We start from the raw sequence: 14,836 nt of genomic DNA on the forward strand, positions 1-14,836 counted from the left end.
TATAAGTCAAGACTTCAAGGCAACCTCTATTTCCTTCTACAATACAGACTTTGAGACCATGCTCATTGGTAGCCTGTGAATGAGTCATGGTGATGACCCAGAATGACTCATCCAAGGCTGAAGATCTAGCCAACCAGTCTGTGTACAAGGAGAACAGGTGAATATTAAATAAGCCAAAATTGTAATATGAAAGATTAAGCTTACATATAATGTTACGTAAGGGATAACAACACTACGATTGGCCAAAATATGCATAAAATGGAAGAATTTATTTTTAGATAATTAAAATAGGGCAAATGGAACAGAAGAGGGTATATGACCTCAAATTCCTCCCTTCTCTAAATCAGAATGCTAATTAAGTCTCAGTGATGTCTACCTAATTTTTAAAATATATAGAATTTCAGTCCTAATGATTATTCAGCATTAATAAATTATGTTATCTATTAGGATTTGGAAGTGGAGTCTATTTCTCTTATTTCCTAATCCCACTTATCAGTAAGTTATTAATTTCTGCCTATCTGGTCTTCCAAATATCTTGCTAATCCCTGAGTTTACCCCCATTGCCCCAGCCACTGGCTTTGTCCTAATCAAGGAGACTATCAGCCTCTTCATCATCTGTACCAACAATCTCTTCTTAACTGGCTCTCTGACTCTGCCACAGCCCTCATCAATATATTCACAACATTTTAGAGAGTGATCTTTTTAAAGCACAAATTAAATATCTCCCCACTGCCTCTTGGGCCACATATAGACACCTTAACTCACCCCAGTCTGGTTCCTCCCCAGCTTTAAAGCCTCCTCTCACTATGCTCCTTCCGCACTCAAGGCTCCACCTATGGGGGAGGTTTTTCATTTCTTCCCAGGTGTTCCTCAAAACAGCTGATTCTCTGCCTTGGGAAGCTAAGGACAGCCACTGAAAAACTGAATCCTGGTACCAACACTGGAGATTTTTGGCTTATTGTATTTGGTATGAAGCCTTGGAATCTGCATATTTTAAAGCTGATTCCACTGTGCACCCAGTTTGCTATTCTCTTTGCCTTGAATGATGAACCCTCTGTGGCTTTTAATGGAATTACTTTTTATTCAGTTATAATGTAGTGACTGTCCACTATATGCAAATCACTGTGGCAGAGATGCCTCATATGAATTCCACTATTTAAAATAATTATGACACAGACATATCATTTAACAATTCCTCTGGGAACAAAAACCTTTTCAATGAAATTAGCCTGCGTACTGAGGGCCAAGAAGTATTGGTTTATTTGAGCAGTCAGAGAAGGTGTATCAGTAAGCAGCTGCACTATTTCTTTTTTTTTTTTTCTTTTATTCTTTAAGTTCTGGGATACATGTGCAGAATGTGCAGATTTGTTACATGGGTATACATGTGCCGTGGTGTTTTGCTGCACCCATCAACCCATCATCTAGGCTTTAAGCCCTGCATGCATTAGGTATTTGTCCTAATGTTCTCCCTCCCCTTGCCCCCAATACCCCAACAGGCCCCAGTGTATGATGTTCCCCTCCCTGTGTCCATGTGTTCTCATTGTTCAACTCCCACTTATGAGTGAGAACATGCAGTGTTTTGTTTTCTGTTTCTGTGTTAGTTTGCTGAGAATGATGAGTTTCCAGCTTCATCCTTGTCCCTGCAAAGGACATGAACTCATTCTTTTTTATGGCTGCATAGTATTCCGTGGTGTATATATGCCACATTGTCTTTATGCAGTCTATCATTGATGCAACTGCCCTATTTCTGTAAAGGACTTCTCAGTGTTGAGCATATGCAAGTGGAAATCAGTGATCTATGGGGGCTGGAAGCTTGGAAGAAACCAGAAAGCACAAGGTCTTTAAGCAGAGACTGGAACAGCGTGAGGAAAGTAGGGTTATTTCCTCATAGCTGAGATCTGTAGACTTGGGAGAAGTCCACCAAAGGAATGTGCTCCCTTACGTATGCATTTTGTATTATTTCTTCCTCCAGTGATAAAATATAACCATGGGCTTATTAAAGAAAATTATTTCTGCTTTTTAAAAACTAAACAAATATTGTACACTGAAGATTATTTAATCTTTCTTTGATGATTCCAGAATATTCTGTGGTCATAATTATGACTTCCAATTGCTTTTGGAAATACTATGATATAGTGGAAAGAATACTAACTGAGCTTGGTCATCCAGTAGCTTCACAGTCTTTGGCAAATCATGCTTGTGATTCATCTGAAAAATAAAAATAATTCTATGTACCTCAAAAACTTTTGCAAAAATTAAATGATAGTATATAGTGTGTCCATCACAGTTCCTAGGGCATAAATGAAACCCTATAAATGTCAGTCCTCTTTATCTTCTTCCTTTACAATGTCGACATAAAAAAGTAGGAGATCAAAAGCTTAAAAAAATCAGAACACTGAACAACAACAAAAAAGATGTAATGATTTACTCTTGCTAAAAACATCCAGGAAAGATTAAAAAACAATGACAGAAATGATGTAGGTGATCTTTTGTATAACTGATTCATTCATTTGATTCATTCTTTTGTGTAACTGATTCATTCATTTCTTTCTCTGATGCTATTCAGTTTATCATAACATTTTAAACCATTTTAATCTTTCTATCATAGATCTTGAGATAAAATGGAAAGGATAATAATTTTTATCAAAGGCATAAATATATCCAAAAATACCAATAAGTGTGAGATGCAGCTTCACTGTGAGTTCTGCTTTCATTAATTACTATTTGTTAGAGGCTGATTATTTTTATCTCCCTGAGATTTCTCTCATTTCATGTTTCTTATTTGATAGACTGTGTTTTCTTTCTAATTTATTTTTATTTTCAATATTTTTCTCTTCAAGAAATTGTAGGCTGGGCACTGTGGCTCACGCCTGTAATCCCAGCACTTTGGGAGGCCGAGGCGGGCGGATCATGAGGTCAGGAGATCAAGACCATCCTGGCTAACATGGTGAAACCCTGTCTCTACTAAAAATTACAAAGAAAAAAATTAGCCGGGCATGGTGGCGGGCACCTGTAGTCCCAGATACTCAGGAGGCTGAGGCAGGAGAATGGCATGAACCCAGGAGGTGGAGCTTGCAGTGAGCTGAAATGGCACCACTGCACTCCAGCCTGGGCAACAGAGCGAGACTCTGTCTCAAAAAAAAAAAGAAATTGTAATCTTGGAAAATCTTCCCAAGTCATTAAACTTTAAATTCTCCATTTTTAGATATTAACTAATGTTTCTCATCTAAACAATTTATTATTTATTTTGTTGCTCCTTGGTCAATGATAATGTGTGGGATTCAATCAACACTAAGAAAACTCTTTGAGAAATTTTCCTAGTTGTAGCTCTAAATTTCCAGTGGCCTAATGTGTCTCCAATCACTCTAGTTTCTATAGTGCAAGACTTGATCCAAAAATTTTGGGTATAATTTTTCTATTTACACATCACTCTCAACCATTGAGCTTGTCATGCTTGATTTTTTCTAGCTGGCATTTACAAACCTTAAAAGACTGTTTTCCTGTTGTTTCACATAATTTTAAATATCTAAACAACCTTTTGTTCCCATAAAAGATATCAGCTTTATTCACCTTTCAGGCATTCCTAATTTTTTGTTTTGTTTTGTTTTTTATTTCTTTCTACACAACAGATTGATATGGTTTGACTATGTCCCCCACTAATCTCATCCTAGATTGTAGCTCCCCATAATTCCCACGTGTCATGGGAGGGATCTGGTGGGAGGTAATTGAATCATGGGGGCAGGTCTTTTCCACATTATACTTGTGATAGTGAATACATCTTACAAGATCTGATGGTTTTATAAAGGGGAGTTCCCCTGCATACACTCTCTTGCCTGCTGCCATGTAAGACGTGCCTTTGCTGCTCCTTCATCTTCCACCACCAACCTCCCTGACCATGTGGAACTGTGAGTCCATTAAATCTCTATCCTTTATAAATAACCCAGTCTCTGGTATGTCTTTATTAGCAGCGTGAGAACAGACTAATACACAGATTAAGAGAAAAAAATCATCACTTCTGTAAATGCATTTTCACTTTCATGGAAAGGAAAAGGAGAGATGTTACTTATCAATAATTATTCTCATAGTAACTGGAAATTATGAGTTTTTCTTACATGACTGATTTGTCACATTGTATATTCAATAATTATGCTTTTTAATTGTTTCCTCTGGACTACACAATTTTAAAGTAGATTTATATTCAATTAGTTTAATATACAAAACAATAATTCTTCAAAGATATTTATGTCATGATACTCAATCAACAGAAATGTGGCTCTGACCTTTTTGGTTAAGTGAGTATCAGTGAAATTAAAATTTTCCAAATGCCTTTTTTACAGCAAATTATGTGAAAAAAATAAAAATAAGATATCCTTAGCATTTCTGAAAATACTGGTTTTTATGGAGCTTTACTAACCATTATACATGTTCATTTAGACCAGCAATAGAATTGCAAGTTAGGATGAGAACATAGGTCATTACCCTGGATGCATCCCTGCTCATCACACCCATGTCTCATCCTTAACTAAAACCAAACTGCTGTTAAATCAGGTGGATGACAAGCAGCGGAGATCTTGATCCTCTAAGTAAATAGAAATACTAAATAAAAAGTTGGCATTTCACTGGAGAGCAGTTGAGTATGTTAAAGTAAGACAATTTGTGTACAAAATAAGTTTAACTTACAATTATAAATTTTTAAGGAAAATCAAAGTTACCAACCAATACACAAGTGAACAATTGGAGGAAAGCAATGGATTACAAGGACAAGTAGATTACAAAAGAAAATAATGTTCACTGGAGGAAGGGCTTCGTCAGAATGTAAAGGACTATTGCTCAGGCTTTCTACAAAGAGAAGAAACAAAGCCGAGAATGGAATACGATGCTTGCAAGGTAACTAGGAGAAAGCATGAGACAATCATAAATATATCATATTATTAAAACTTGCCTAAAATACTAGATCTTTAGACTTACAACAGGATCCATGTGCTCTAGCCTATTTTAATGTTTTTCCTGGGTAACAAACAAGACTAATAGAGAACAATTATAACATGTTTAGTTTTTGACCATGGTTCTTTGAAACATTCAGTGCCTAGTTCTTCCCAAGCACCTGGATCAAAACCCCCATGACAGCCTGGTCACTCTAAACCAATTTAAGACTCCTACAGTCTCATTTAGTTGCAAATCACAGGCTTAATTCTGTAATTCAGCTGTTCAATCCTATGTGACAATAGAAACTCTCTAGTACATTTGAGGCTGGCATTATTCCCTAATGTGGGCCTATGACAGAAGAAGTGCCTACAAATAAAAACTTAGCATTGTCTTCTCTATACTTGAGAAACTCCTCCCCATTTGGGAGGAGTTTTTATTTTTTGCTCCTATGGGTTGTTTTGACTGATTGGAGTGAGGCTGATGATCTCGTGTCTTTCTGAGCCTGCCCGGTATTCAGAGCTGCTTTCTCTCATAGTACTATTCTGAATTATTTGAAGACCTCCCACAGCTAGAGACTTACTGCTTACAGTCCCTTGACACAGGCAATATCAGTATTCCAACTAGTTTTGGCTCCTCCCATAGCCTCTGAGCATTAGGCCACGACCAGCTTCCTTCCGCTGAGATCCCATCTACCCTCCACTCAGTCTCTTGGACAGGATCCAAGGCTTCCTCTTGTGGGCTTTGCCTCCCACGTGGCCACACCTCTTCCTTTCCCTTGACAAATTCTGGGAGCTCCATTATTTACCAAATTGCAGCTCTATACTCTGCTATCATGGGCTGACCCAGCTAACATTCAAGCTTTGGATTCTTAACGATGATTCAGACACAAGCTCACTGTGCCACTCAAACTATGTTTGTGTGCTTTGATGGAGATGGGGAATGGGAGTCACATAAATTCTCCACATGGTCGCTTGGAAGTCCAGTTTCCTAAGGAGGTATCCTCCTGCTCCTCCCCACTAAAAGCAAAGAGGTGAGATATATAGGACAACTCACTCCAAAGCAACCTTCAAAATTCTTTTTCTAATTTCCAATGACTGGTATCTGTATGCCATAAATATGGATGGGAAGTATAAAGGCATCTAATCAGTTTCCTCCCACGCCTTTTTTGCAAGTTCTGTGTCTTGGTCATTCTATAACAAAATACCATAAATTGGGTAGCTTATAAACAACAAAAATTTATTTCTCATAGTTCGGGAATCTGGGAAATCCAAGATCAAGGCATTGGCAGATTCGGTGTTTAGAGAAAGCCTGCTTTCTGGTTCATAGAAAGAGCCTTATAGCTGTGCTTCCACATGGTGGAAGGGGCAAGAAAGCTCTCTGGGGACTCCTTCATGAGGATCTTAATCTTACTCATGAAGGCTCTGTCCTTATGACTTAATCACTTCCCAAGAGGCCCCACTTCCTAATACCATCACACTGGGGACTAGGATTTCAACATATGAATTCAGGGGGACACAAACATTTAGACCATAGCATTCTGCATGGTAATGTTTCATACCTCAGCCAAAATTTTATTTTTCATAAATGTATGTGTGTGTGTATATGTGTATCTGTGCATGTGTAACTAAACACAGAATTTTAAAAGATTTCACAATATATCACAAACACATGTATACATAAGGTTCAGTCCTTCATAGTGACTTTCACAGCTGTGTGGTCTAGGAAGAGAAATGAGTTTATTTTATAAATAACCTTCTCTCAGAGTTGCCAAAATGAAACAAAAAGCAATAAATTTCTCTTAGAAATAAGTCCGCAATAAAAACAGGCTAAAAAGAAGGAGCTCATGTAAGAAACTTATGTGAAGAACAGAAATGCCATAACCTCAAATCCTCACTAAGTCCAGGGAGACCTGTGACCAGATACTATAATCATGAGAGAAGGCACAGCTACAAAGAGTTAAGATTTGCAGTAGATTTGCTATGAGCATGTGAAAGAGCATTTTAAATTATGTTCCAATAAATAAGTTTTGTGCTTTGGGCCAGTGGTGAAATATTGATGTATTACAAAAAGAAAAAGAAAATAATTTTTTTGTTTTCTTTTTCTCAGTAAGGAACTATTTTTTCCTTAAAAGGATAGACCAAATATCAATAAAGAAGCAGTTGAGGCCTGTAATAGGATGCAAGTATCTAAACACTCAAGTGAGTTCAAGTCTCTTGAAACAAATTGTGTAGCAGATTACTGAGAAAATTTACAAATGATACCAAGAAACTTCCGTCAATGACCTATGCATAAGGATTTATCAAAAATTAGAGAAATTCTGAAAGTTTGAAACAAGTAAGCAGTTTTAAAAAAACTACCAAAAATTGGTATTTATTGAATATAATACAGGTTATTAAAATCATAACCTTGTAATCATATTGAAAGGAAATTGGCAACCAAAAGGGGTAACCAAACAGAGTCAACATGGCCTCCCTGTTTGACTTTATTCTGGGTCAAAGTAATTGGGTTTCTCCTTTAAATGTGATGACAATTATTGTTGAAGAAAAATGCAGTGGACATTTCTAGATCTCAACAAGACAATCTATTTAATAACATTGTTAAAAACAACATGAAGGAATGTTGAAGGATAATGATAAAAGAAAGGGAATTTGTAACCTGTTAAGTAACTAATGACCAAAGGTGCTGATTTGAATGGATGTAATTGTAGAGGGATTTACTGATTCACATGTACTGAACACACTGCTGCCAGCTTTTTACTGAAGGTAGGATTCTTCAGTTTCCTATTTAGACTGAGACTCCCAGAGCTAGTGTGGTTTACCTGGTAATGAGGATAGAAATGAGGTCAGCCGGTTTTCCACAATCAGCCATCCAGTGGACAAACAGGTGACCCATCCCAAAGGAATACAAAAAAGGTGTTCTGATCTCTTCATCACTTATTACTTTGCTCCCTGCAAAAATCATTAACATTCCTGACATATGGTCAATCGCTCACCCCTGTTAAAGCAAGTTTCTCCCTATTGCGTTGCAAAGGCATACAAAACAAATAAGCATGATTTCTAAACAAAGAAGGCTTTCAAATATAAATTTGAGATATTATATAGGCTTCTCCCTATACAGGCAGTGTATCTATGGAAAGAGGAGGGCCATACTTCATTTTAACCGAAAATGCAACAGTCTGTTAACCCCGTTTATTTCCCATAAGAAGGAAAAAAAAGTGTTACATATGAAGCTTAAGGAGCCTGAGGCCTCATGGAACGTGTCTCAAAATCTTTGCCTGAGAAGTAGAAATTTAGCAATATGACTGAAATAATAGATTGTATTTTCATTTAGAGACACCATGGCTGTCTTTTCCTCACATTTCTCATCTTATTTACTAATAAATTTTTAAAGAAGACTGAAGATATGTTTATTGATTTACATTAGATAAATTGATTTTTCAGTAGTGTGGAGTTTTCCTTGGTGGGGTTTTACGTCATTAGAACATAGTTCGGTGAGCCTAGACAGACTTCAGATATTTACATATCTATGAAGCCGAGTCATTAATCATGCAGAAAAGTTCAACATAGAGAGAAGTTGCTATAATTATTGGTGGCAAACAATTGAAATAGATTCATGCTAACTTGAAGAAAGGAACTTAATTTTTGGAAGGCTATTCAGTTACAGAATCTAAGAAAGAGTATAGCATCCAGGCCAACAGGTCAGAGCTGGGACTCTGATTAATAGGAAATAATGGGTAATTTCCTTGAGTCTTGCCATCAAGGCAGTCTTCTGTCTTTAGGTAACTCTTCCCAGCTTCAATCCTAAGAAAGAAACTCTGATGGGGTGGGCTTTAGTCGCAGTGTTACACTTTAGCTATGCTAGGGGCTGGTGGCGATTTCTAGTTATAATCGGAATAGGACCTCAAGAAATGGAGGTTCCACGAAAGAAAACTATTGCCAGGTCTCTTTCTCAGAAGTGGGGACAAGTACACTATGAAAAGTATACTTTAAAATGGGTTCAGTACCTTTATAGTTTGAACATTGTACATTAATGGTAAGGCTCTAATTATCTAATTGGGTAATGGATTCATAAGTGTTCATTTCTCTTATGTAAATAAATAAATAAATAAGAATAAAAGAGAGCCATGCATAGACTAATGAAAACAGTGTTTTAAGAATTAACCGTTATGATTAATATAAGCCTGAAATACAAAAATAAATAAAATCAAACAAAATAAAAAATATTACCCTAAACATCAGACAAAAAGAAATCAAAACTGAGCAGGTACATTTTAATACTTTGGATAATTTATATTTTACTATTTCTGGATAACAATGATAAATAATGAAATGATCAAGCAGTCAGAAAATTCTCCTAATTCAAGTCTTCCTGAACTACTTTTGTAAGTCAAAAATGGCAAGTTTGTCTTAGCAATTCTTGATCTTCAGCTCTTTTATATCAATATTAGAATGAGTTTCTCAAATTTAGCAAATACATACACACGAAGAGACACAAAATCTATTGGAACTTTCACTGGAATTTTATTTTGTTTATACATTATTTTCAGGATACTCAATATTTATGCCTTCATTTAGTTTTCTTATTCATAAACATCCTATCTCTCACATCTCTTCTCATTCCATCTCATCCTATTTTGCGCTATCTCTCCATTGTCATTTTTAATATTCTTCCTTAATGCTTAAACTTTCTTTGTAGAGACTCTGCAGAATATGTTAGATTTATTCCTGCTGAAGTCTGAATGTCAGTTCCCCCCACCCCGACCCCCTCAAAATTTTTATATTGAAACTTAATATCCAATGTGACAGTGGGGCGGGACCTTTGGGAAGGTGATTTTGTCATGAAGGCTGTAGCCTTATAAATGGGATTAGTGACCTTATAAAACAGGCTCAAGTGAGCTCTCTAGTCCCTTTTTTGAGTCCCTCCCTCCATGTGAGGACAGTGAGAAGGCATCATTTTGGAAGCCTCTAGAACTGAGAGAGGCTGAATAAATTTCTGAGAAATAAATTTCTGTTGTTTACAAATTACCACTATTTCAGTATAGCAGCAGGAATGAACTAAGACAAATTTTAAGACACTTTATAGTTTTTTTTGTCATTATAAATGGTGTCTTTTCCTTTAAATTATTTTATTTAAAGTTTATTACTCGTATAAAGACATGCAATTGACTTTTCTATGGTTAAGCATTTTGCTAAGTTTTTCTATCATTTCTAGTTATTTTTATGTATAGTTTTTTTGGTTGTTTTATGTATACAACCAAATCATTTTCAAGGAATGATGGTTATTTCCTCTAAATTTGTATGCTTTTATTTATTTATTTTTATTGCACTAACTAGAATACCCAAGTCAATGTAAACCAATAAAATGGTAAAAGTAGGTATCTTTGTCTTATCTTATATTTTTAAAAAATCTTATAAATTTTTATCCAATTTAGATGTTCCGTATTTCTTTCTTTTGCCTAATTGCTCTGACTACAACTTTCAATACTATGTTGAGTAAAAGTGGGGAAAGTGGACCTCTTTGCCTTGTTCCAGATCTTAGAAGAAAGGCTTTCAATTATTCTCTATTCATAGGATATTACCTATGGATTTTTCATATATCACCTTTATTGTTTTGAGGTACATTCCTTCTATGTCTAGTTTGTTAAGTATTTTTATTATGAAGGAAAGTTGAACTTTATCAATGTGTTTTCTGCCTCTATGGAGATAATCATATGGTTTCTGTCCTTCAGTTTGTTGATGTAGTGTATCATAGTGATCAGTTTAGATATGTTGAAAGATCCTTACATTCCTGGAATAAATTTTGCTTGATCATGGTGAATAACCTTTCTGATGTGCTGTTTTATTCAGTTTTCCAGCATTTTGTGAGGATTTTTGCATCTATCTTTATCAGGGATATTGGAATGTACTTTCCTTTCTTTCTTGTGTCTTTGTGTGGTGTTGGCATTAGGGTAATACTGACCTTGTACAATGAATTTGGGAGAACTCCCTCCCACGTAAATTTTTTGGAATACTTTGATAAGAATTGGTATTAGTTCTTCTTTAACAGTGTGGTAGAATTCAGCAGTGAAGCCATTCAGTCCTGAACTTTTCTTTCCTGAGAAACTTTTTAATTAATGATTCAACCTCTTTATCCATTATTGGTCTGTTTAGTTGTTCTGTATACTCATGGTTCAATCTTGGTATGTCATATGTATCCAGAAATTTATCTATGTCTTCCTGATTTTCTAATGTTTTGGCATGTAATTGTTCATAATACTCTCTAATGATCCTTTGTATTGCTATGATATCTGTTGTAATGTCACCTTTTTAATCTCTAATTTTATTTATTTGGGTTTTCTCTCATTTTTTTCTTAGTACTCTAGCTAAAAGTTTGTCAATTTTGCTTATATTTTTAAAAAACCAACTTTTTATTTTGTTGATCTTTTGTAATTTTTTAGTCTCAATTTTATTTATTTCTGCTCTGATCTTTATTGTTTCTTTCCACTAACTGGGGGTTTGGCTTATGCTCGTTTTTCTAGTTTTTTGAGGTACATCATTAGATTGTTTATTTGACCTCTTTCTACTTTTTTGATGAAAGCATTTCTTGCTATAAACTTCTCATCTCTCTTCATAATCTTTTTCTGTATCCCATAGATTTTGGTATGTTTTGTTTCCATTTTCTATGGTTTCAAAACATTTTTTTTAATTTCCTTTTTAATTTCTTCATGAACCCTTTGATTGTTTAAGAGCATGTTGTTTAACTTCCATGTATTTGAATACAGTTTCCAAAGTTCCTCTTGTCATTGATTTATAGTTTTATTCAATTATGGTCAGAAAAGATAACATAATTTTGACTTTTCAAATTTTTTGATTTATTTTTTGGCTTAACACGTGGTCTATCCTAGAGAATGTTCCATGTGCCAACAAGAAGAATGTGCACTCTGCAGCAGCTGGATGAAATGTTCTTTAAACGTTGGTTAGGTTCATTTGGTCTAGAGTGCAGTTTAATTCTGATGATTATTTGATAATTTTCTTCTGGATGATCTGTCTTGCTAAAAATGGGATGTGGAAGTCTTGTACCATTATTGTATTGCAGTCTATCCTTTTAGGTCTGTTAATATTTGCTTTATGTATCTGGGTGCTTTAGTGTTGGGTGCATATATATTTATTATTATATCTTCTTGCCAAGTTGACTCTGTTCTCCCTATATAATGACCATCTTTGTTTCACTTTATAGTTTTTGACTTGAAGTATATTTCATCTAACATGAAAGTATAGCTACTCCTGCCCTTTTGTGGTTTCAATTTATATAAAATATATTCTTCTATTTTTTCTATTTAAATCATGTGTCTTTATAGATGAATTTCTTATAGGCAGCATTTAACTGGGTCTTGTACTTTTATCCATTCACCCACCCTTTATCTTTTAATTGGGGAATTTACTCCATTTACACTCACTCTTATTATTAATAGGTAAGGACTTACTACTGCTATTTTTTTTTTGTTTTATGGTTGTTTTGTAGCTCCTCTCATTCTTCTTTTCTTACTGCCTCCTTTTGTAGTTATTTTTTCTGGTAGTATATTTCAATTTCTTGCGTTTGCTTTCTATTTTTAGTTTTTATATTATAGGTTTTTGCTGCATGGGTATATAAAACATTTATGTTTTTAACAAAGTTATTTTAAACGGATAACAACTTTATTTTGATCATAAAGAAAACAATAAATTTAAAAAAAAAAACTAAAAATCTCTACACTTTAGCTCTATTCCTTCCAAAATTTTGACTTTTTGTTGTTCCAATTTACATCTTTTTATATTGCCTATCTCTTAGTAATTTTCTCTGGGTATTTACTTTTTCCAATGATTTTTATACTTCAGGTGGATTTTTTTTGGTTGTATGTTGGTATCCTTTTTTGCCTCCAGATTGAAGAACTCCCTTTAGCATTCTTATAAGACCAATGTGGTGATGATGAATTTTCTCAACTTTTGTTTGCCTTTGTGTTTCAAGGATAGCTTTGTTGGGTACACAATTCTTGGTTGACAGTTTTTTTTCCTTTAGCACTATTAGTATGTCATCCCACTTCTTCCTGTCCTGTAGGGTTTCTACTGAGAAGTCTGTTGCCAGACAAATCAGATCTCTTTTATATATGATTTAATTTTTTTTCTGCTTTTAGGATCCTCTATTTGTCCTTGAACTTTGAGAGTTTGGTTATTATATGCCTTGGGGTAGTTTTATTTGGGTTAAATCTGTTTGGTGATCTTTGACCTTACTATACCTGGATATTTATATCTTTCTCTAGATTTTGTAAAGTTTTCTGTTATTGTGTCTTTGAATAAGCTTTCTACCCCTTGCTCTTTCTCAACTCCCTGTTAAAGACCAATGACTCAGATTTGCTCTTTTTAGGCTATCCTCTAGATTTGTAAGCATTCTTTTTGTTTTCTTTTTTCTCTTTTATTTATTTCCAAATTGCCTATTTTCCAGATCACTGGTTATTTCTTCTGCTTGATTCAGTCTGCTGTTGAGACCCTCTAATGTATTTTTCATTTTGACCATTGTATTTCTAAGCTCCAGGATTTCTGTTTGATGTTTTAAATTATTTCAAAATCTTTGTTAAATTTCTCATAAATTTCTGAATTTATATGACAAATCTTGAAATTCACCAGATTTCCTTACACTGCTGGTTTGAGTTATTGATCTGAGAGCTTTCACATAAACATCTTATTAGGGTCAGTGCTGTCTCATTTTTTTGTCCATTTGGGGAGGTCATGGTTCTCTATCCACTCTTGTTTTCTGTGGACTTATGTCTATGTCTTTGCACTTAAGGGAGAATTATTTATTCTAGTCTTTGCTTTTGCCTTGGTCTTTCCAGAGTATGTCTGTCTGTGCAGGTTGACTGATGAGTTCCTTTAGCCCAAGACCACTGCCTCCTTTCTGGCATTAGGTGGTTTCCTAAGCCCAGATTTGCCATAACTCTTGAAAAAGTTCAGAATACTGCACATCTCAGACTGCGGGGATCCCAGTGGGGATACCCTGGCTGTGTAAGAAGGCTAGTTTGGAGTTTGTGCCTGGAATATTCACAGAGCACACCTTTGACAGCATAGTGGTCATGTACAGCCTCTCTAACTTGCTGTCTCCTTTGGCTGAGATGAAAAGCAGCCACAGAGTTTTGCATGCTGGCTCATTTTAGCCCAACTTCTGTTTGTCTCCAGCTACCCTCAGGAGTTTTCAACCTACATGCACTTGCAGTACTTCCTATGGGTTGGGGCAGGAATGGTTTTCTTGCCAAGGAACCCATGATGGTGGGGAAACTGGCTGTCTACCTCTATTACACTTTTACCTGTGTAGAAACCATCAGTCCACGGGGACTTTTCCACATGTTGCCTGGCAGTTTGGGGGAGGGGTGTCACAGTTAGAGTTTTATTCCTCTTACCTTCTGCTCATGATTTTTCATTTTTCTGTGGCCCCTGGGATTGTCACAGCCTCTGTTGTGAGTTTTAGAATATTGTTTACGGTTTATTTAGATAGTAAGAATTGTTCAAAAAATTCTTCAACTTTAAAAATTTTCTCAGAAGATTCTGCCAAGTAGGCATGTAGTGTTTGTTGTAGCAGTGACAAACTACCACAAATCAGTAGTCAGATAGATCTGCCCTATTGACACACCTCTTAAAATCACAAGTATAGTCCTGCCACTAATATGCAGCCTCTTTTCACTACTTAGAAAAAGCAAAAGATTAAATCTTATCCAGCACACTTTTGAAGGCATAACTGAAATAACTAACATGGGTTAAATCCAAAAGAAAGGTATTGCTTAAATTCATTTTCAATCAACTCATCATAATGTCCACTTCCAAAACCTCTTTGTTAACTGTTGTTAAAGGCAAAATTATTCTGCATTTGTTAAAATCGTAAGGAAGACTTTATTCAGACCTGTCAG

At 35.3% G+C, this 14,836-nt stretch overlaps 1 protein-coding gene and 1 long non-coding RNA gene across 9 annotated transcripts in view; one reads left to right on the forward strand and one right to left on the reverse strand.

Annotated features, from left to right (window-relative positions):
* GALNTL6 (polypeptide N-acetylgalactosaminyltransferase like 6) overlaps nucleotides 1-14,836 on the forward strand; it is a 1,228,156-nt gene that overhangs the window by 879,414 nt on the left and 333,906 nt on the right. Inside the window, exons 2-4 of one of the 8 annotated variants that reach the window (XM_011531994.2) lie at nucleotides 48-157; nucleotides 2,609-2,697; nucleotides 4,698-4,887. The exons of 4 other annotated variants lie outside the window; for them this stretch is intronic. In XM_011531994.2, coding sequence (XP_011530296.1) covers nucleotides 4,785-4,887 — 103 coding nt within the window. In that variant the 5' untranslated portion in view covers nucleotides 48-157; nucleotides 2,609-2,697; nucleotides 4,698-4,784. Of the gene's footprint in view, nucleotides 1-47; nucleotides 158-2,608; nucleotides 2,698-4,697; nucleotides 4,888-14,836 lie in introns of those variants that run through there. 3 more of the 8 variants (XM_011531995.2, XM_011531996.2, XM_011531997.2) reach the window with 3 other exon arrangements.
* Nucleotides 1-14,836, reverse strand: part of GALNTL6-AS1 (GALNTL6 antisense RNA 1) — a 96,947-nt gene that overhangs the window by 62,886 nt on the left and 19,225 nt on the right. The gene's annotated exons all lie outside the window — the stretch shown is intronic.

The sequence above is a fragment of the Homo sapiens genome, chromosome 4 (genome assembly GCF_000001405.40).
Source record: "Homo sapiens chromosome 4, GRCh38.p14 Primary Assembly".
Classification (NCBI taxonomy): Eukaryota; Metazoa; Chordata; class Mammalia; order Primates; family Hominidae; genus Homo; species Homo sapiens.